Below are 6203 nucleotides of genomic sequence, written 5' to 3' on the forward strand. Positions count from 1 at the left end.
AGACTAATATCTACAGATAGCAATAGAAAGGCCACATAAACCTTAAATATGCACAAGGTTCAGATGATGTCACCTGTGGTTTGAAAGCTATGCCCTTCTACATCAGCCTCCCCAGGGTGACACCCATATGGCCTCACATGTTTTCTGCCAAAGGCATGCATATGTGAGGCTTGCCTGCTCTTCAGGTGGTTGGGGAGTGATATTGTGATGAGGGGGGCCACGGCGTCACTGCAGCAGAGCAGCATGTGTTGGCTTCAGGCACTGTCTGCCTGTGGACACCCGTGGCTCACCATCAGCTCTGGTGCTTGACACACTGGTTCAGCAAGAAGCCTGCTGTGGTGGAGAGGGGGCTGGGTGAGCAAGTGTCATAACATAGGACTCAGTGAGTCTTTCTCCCTCCTCCCTTCTCTTTCTCCTTGCTTCTCACTGTAGGCTTTAGACGGACTCAAGTCTCTGAGGTTCAACACCTTAGTTTGATGTGTGACTCCTTCTGCTCCATGACCTCAGGGACAACCTTTCTGGCAGTGCAGTCAGGGGCTACTGTGGCATGCCGAGGTTTTCCCAGCTGGTATCACTACCTCCATATTGCAGGTAGGAATACAGAGTGGGGGCATTGCCGGGGACCCGGGCTTCATTGTCTTTTAATAAGCAATTCTAAACTTTTCAAAAAGCTTCCTAACAGACTTCCCCTGATAGTTCACCAGCTAGAATTATGTCACTGGGACACTTCTAGCCTGCAAGGGAGGCTGAGGCAGAGAATTTTTAGTTTCTGAAGGCTCTGCCACAGAGATGAGCAGGGAGAAAAGGTTGGCGATAAATATGGGAACATGTAGCTAGCGGTCTCTGCCCCAGATATGATATTGAATATGAGCCTCAGAATTCTTGTCAATAAAATGTGTTCCTATGTCACTGGATTTTTGTGAGGATAAAATAAATGCTCTATGTGAGATGCCTTGCATAGAGTCTGACCCATCGAAAGGGTTCAGGCATTAGTTTTATTTACTCCATTCTGTCTTATTTTATTCTGTCTTTTCTGCAGAGTAAACTAGGTGTCCTATCATTTTTCACTAAGTTAAACTCCTCAGAATGACAAATTAAGGGCTTCTGCAATGTGGCTCCAATCCATCCTTCTCTGTCTTATCTCTGTCTTACTCTGACTCACACTCCAGTGTCTGAACAGGCCCCATGCTGTGCCATCTGTGGGGCTCTGCCGGTTCCTGGAGGTACTCATCCATCACACCCTCCTCCAGAACCAGCCCCAGGCCAGGCCCAGGGCCCTCAGTACATCCCCAGTTTTCCTGTAGTCAGGATGACTTTCTCTATGATCCCATGGATCCCATTGTTGCTTTATTGAAGCACAGTCTGAAATTTTTCCAGCTAGCCTTATAGCTGTCAAACTTTCAAAATTTAATTTCCTTGAGCAGCACAGTCTCTCAGCACAGAGCCCAGAAACACAATAGGAGCTCAGGGTATTTTTAATCCTGCCCGTGGTTCAATTGGGGAGGGGCTTCCAAAATGTACACACGACCCATCAAAACATTTAACATCTCTGTGCCCTAAAGTCGTTCTAAATGTATACTTTTGGATGGTTAAAAGCGTTTTCTCTAGAAGTCTCATTTTAGGCTGATAGGTGGAGCTCTGACCAAGATGCCCTTTAGGCCCCATAGGTTCCCCTCTGATGTGTGACAATTCAATTGATTCCAACAGGGCAGGGATCCCCCAGGCAGTGGAGGGCAGCAGAGACATCAGTTCTAGGAATGAATTCATTAAAAGCCCCTCACTTTGGTTGGAAGGTACACTTACTTGGCTCTTTGAGTTAGCACACGCTTTCATCCACAAGATTGACTACACACCTGTATCTGGCAGGAAATCTACTAAGTCAGTACTTACTGGGAAATTTTGATGTGCACTGCATCTGTGATTAAATGAAAACAGCAAGGAAACATTGTATGGACTCACAGTGGATTTGTTATAAAAAAAGAAGCCCCTCAATAACTCTTCTTTAAATTAAAAGTCTAAACATAGGTAATATGACTGTACATACTATATCTTTTAGAAATCAAATGTTAACAATAATCTACAAGTTTTGTGGCCTTCATTAAAGAAAAAAAATTAAAACATGCTATTTTACCATCTTAGATTTTTTTTTTTAAATAGTAAGAAAGATATTGCTCCATGATGTTATTAAACTCATCAAAAGAGGCATAGCTATTTTTTGAAAATCTTAATCTAAGAATTCATTAGTTGTAAAAATATATAACTTGACAAGAAATGTTTTCAAAAGGAGAGCTCCTCTGTATTTAATTGAAAGGTTTGGTAAACACTTCCTATATTTCATTACTATTTTGAAAGAACTAATATGCTTTAAACAGCAAAATAAGCATTTCAAAATAGTTAAAACACATCAGTTCTCAAAAAACCTATACTGAAAAGGATTTTACTTTGATAAGAGACATCAGAGGTAATTTTTTTCTAGTTGCCATCTCATAATATAGCATTTCTAGACTTCGAAGATATTTAGACTATGAGACATTGGATATTGATCATATCTCTTTTATTTTCTTCACAGATTTCAGAGAAAATTGTAGGAGTTTAATATAATAGAGTTTTTCTTATTTCCACTTGATCTGATAGTAAAGGACATATTTATGAATAATAATGATTATTTGTAACATTATAAGCTCATGTAAACAATAATGGGAAAAAAAAGAAAGAGTGACCAGAAATAACTGCTTAATTTTTATTTGGATCTATAGAGAATTTATTTTAAGAAGGTACTTTGAACATTGACAATCAAATTTTAGGAACTAATAATTTCTAATTTACTTATTTATACAGGGATTCAGTTCGATGAATATTTTATTTATATAGATTCATTTTTTGAAACAGAGTCTCTCTCTGAGGCCCAGGCTGGAGTTCAGTGGCATGATCTTGGCTCACTGCAACTCTGCCTCCCGGGTTCAAGCGATTCCTGTACCTCAGCCTCCTGAGTAGCTGGGATTACAGGCATGTGCCACCATGCCCAGCTAATTTTTGTATTTTTAGTAGAGGTGGGGTCTCACCATGTTGGCCAGGCTGTTCTCAAGCTCCTGACCTCAGGTGATCTACCTGCCTCGGCCTCCCAAAGTGCTGGGACTACAGACATGAGCCACCACGACTGGCCAAAATATTGAATATGAAGAAGATTATAGGTGATGGAAAAAATGTTTGATATAACAAGGGAAAGCAATCATCATGGTCCTATAGTAATGTCTTGAGTATACCCCAGGTCCACCCCAGTTCTGGGGAATCAGGATTCAGTCCAATTTCACTGATAGGAGAATGAATATTTAGAGAGGTGAGGTCTTTCTCCTAATACATTGCACTATAATCAGAAAACAAAGGGTAGAAAAAAGGAAGGAAGGAAGGAAGGAAGGAAGGAAGGAGGGAAGGAAGGAAGGAAGGAAGGGCAGGCGGGCACGCCAAGATTTCTTCCACTCCCAAAGATAAAGAAATTTTTCTTTTTCACAGTATTTCTAAGGTGCCAATTTAAAATATTGTTTTTAGATCACCTGTAAGTTAGAGGTAGCTGAGATTGTGTTAGATCTGTTTATAGATCAAATGCAGAATATCTTTTCTATTCCTATTATTTTTTGACATTACCCTGCACTTAACAGAGTAGGGGAAGCATTGAAAAGAATAGTCATTCTCTTTAAAAAGATGTCAGGCATCCTTCCCATCCTTTCCTCCCTGCCTCCTCTTCCTTCTCATCCTCTTTTTTTTTCTTCTCTCCCTCTCTGTCCCTTTCTCCCAGTGAAGGCTACTGCAGTGGCATGTGAAAATCAAATATTTCAAACAAGTTTGAGAAATAAGGGCAGACTGGTGACAAAAAGGATATCAAAACACCTAGGAAAGAGTTAGAAAAATAGAACTGCTGATAAAGTCCTCTATCACCCTGCAACCTTAGAAAGCCTGTTTGATCTCTGATTTCATAAAACAAATTGCTACATTTTGCTTTTCAAACTCATCTTACATCAGAAGGTAAAAAACAAGTCATACTTCAGATTGCATTGTATGTATTTCAGCTTAAGAAATTGAAATTAGTTTCATTAAATGAATGGCTTGTATAATGAAAAGTATTAATAGTCCTACTGAGAACACTCGTTTGATCTGGAAATTCTTGCTCTTCTGTTTATCTCTATCCAGCAAGACAAAGACATACTGGATTAATGACTAGAATCTGAATAATTATTAACTGAGCTTGCCAGTATCCCCGTTCACCTTCACACAGAATTCGAGGTGACCTCATTTTGAAATGCAGGGATGAACTCTTTGATCATGCATCTCTCCCTCTGTGACTCATGCTTTCAGTGCATTCATAAGATGATTTATAAGTGGGGGAATGTAAGTATGCAAGGAATTAAGCCCTTTGTATTTTGCATTTCTTTGTCTTTGAAATAGTCTCCTTCAGAATTGTCAATGTAGAGCACTCCTGTCTTCTAGACAAACAGATGAAGTCCAGATTGCCACAGAGAGTTGAAAACAGCTCTGCTCCTCCAAGATTTAAAAAGGCAGAAAGTGGCTGGGCACTGAGCAAGGCCAGGACTTTCTCACTGGCCTAGAGGCTTGGGATAGGTAGGTTCTCATGATGTATTCTCCACTTTCAGATGTGGGTTTGGGGGAAATGGCCTGAGCCTGGGTTTCTTTCTTGAGGCCTGCTCCCTCTGGCCTCATCTGTGGGCTGAGAGGCCCCCAGAGTTTGTTCAAGAACCAGCAGGGAGGCCTTCGGGGTGCAGCATTCTGGGACTAAGAAGCAGGAGGAAGCCCGGCAAGGCAGGATGCCAGTCCTGGAGAATGACGACTCCTGGCCACCTCACTCCCAGGATTCCTTAAAGATTTTGCCAACTGGGCGCGCTCTTCCTGCTGTCCCGGAGAGAATGACTAGCAATTTAAAGACCAATTAGACCCCAAGAATCTTTGGTCCTTGGCCTATTACTAGGTCATAGAAGAAAATAGCAGTGATGAGATAGAAATATCAGTAGCATTAGAAATGCCAGGCCAGATGTACTGAAGAAACTGCTTGATGGTGGCTGAAATCCATGCCCAGCATCTACTGGTACCTCTCTCTGTTTTAAACCCAGCATCTACTGGTACCCCTCTCTGTTTTAAACTGGAGGAAATTTGATGCCAAAATCACATTCACCTGATCTCCTTGATCTCCAATAAATACATGTCAGTTGATATAAACATTAGATGTGCATATGTTTCTTACTTTTTTTTTCTGAAGAGTAGTGTCTAAATCAATATAGTTTAGAAATTAAGGCCTTATGGTATATCCCCACCAAAGAACTACAAGGGAACAAGGCAAAGGTAGATAAAAATGCGACTGTGATGATGGCCTTCTGGTGGTGCACGTGAGCTTGCTTCCTGAGCAAGCATCCATGCTGGTTTCTGTCTGGGAGAACATGAGCTGGAAGGGACATTTGATCTTTCGTATAGAAGTCTGTTCCAGAGACAACAGGAACGCAAGCTAGTCATTGATCATGAAACCCACACATGCAAATTCTGAAGTTTGGGGAAGGTCTCAGAAAGAGGTGTCCAGGCCTGGGCATGGCAGTGCATTTGGCTGAGCTGGGTGTAACCAGGGGAGGGGGATGGCCCAGGCTGTGGTTCGCAGTCCTTTTGAGAGACAGAACCACACAGTGAGCTCTGCACCCAGAGACGGTAACTGCAGAGAGGACAGATGTCCTTGGTGTGGACATTCCATCTTCCTGTGGTTCCTTGGGTTTTGTTTGGTTCTATCTCCAAAACTATCTAACTTTTAATGTATTGCTGAAATCAATTATCTAGTCATTCATAGAAGGCTATCTTTCACATCTATGTTCAAGATGGGCTGGCATTTTTGGTTTTGAGCTTTTTTTTACTAAATTTTGAAATCATGATTGCAAAGCTTTGTGAGATCACACAGGACACTTTTCAACTAATTCTAAAATTTGATAATCTATAAAATAGGAGTGTGTTATATAGGAATAGGCATTTTCCAGAGAGTTTGAAAGTACTTGAGTAAATTTATCCAGATCCAAAAAAGCAAAACACAGCAAACAAGGAAAGTTGACAACTGGTCTTTCTTTTTGTATATTTTGCATATCTGGATTTATTTCTTTTGAAATATCATGATTTAAACTATAGATAACTAAGACCAGATGGCTGCTGTAATTTGTGAC

At 40.9% G+C, this 6203-nt stretch overlaps 1 annotated feature.

The window, feature by feature from the left end:
* Positions 3723-4922: an enhancer, noted in NCBI's record as "CDK7 strongly-dependent group 2 enhancer chr8:58476407-58477606 (GRCh37/hg19 assembly coordinates)". NCBI's record gives its function as "activates an origin of replication core promoter dependent on BRD2, BRD4, P300/CBP, MED14 and CDK7 cofactors, with strong dependence on CDK7, by STARR-seq in HCT116 cells {active_cell/tissue: HCT116}" and the evidence as "EXISTENCE:reporter gene assay evidence [ECO:0000049][PMID:35650434]".

The sequence above is a fragment of the Homo sapiens genome, chromosome 8 (genome assembly GCF_000001405.40).
Source record: "Homo sapiens chromosome 8, GRCh38.p14 Primary Assembly".
NCBI classification, from domain to species: domain Eukaryota; kingdom Metazoa; phylum Chordata; class Mammalia; order Primates; family Hominidae; genus Homo; species Homo sapiens.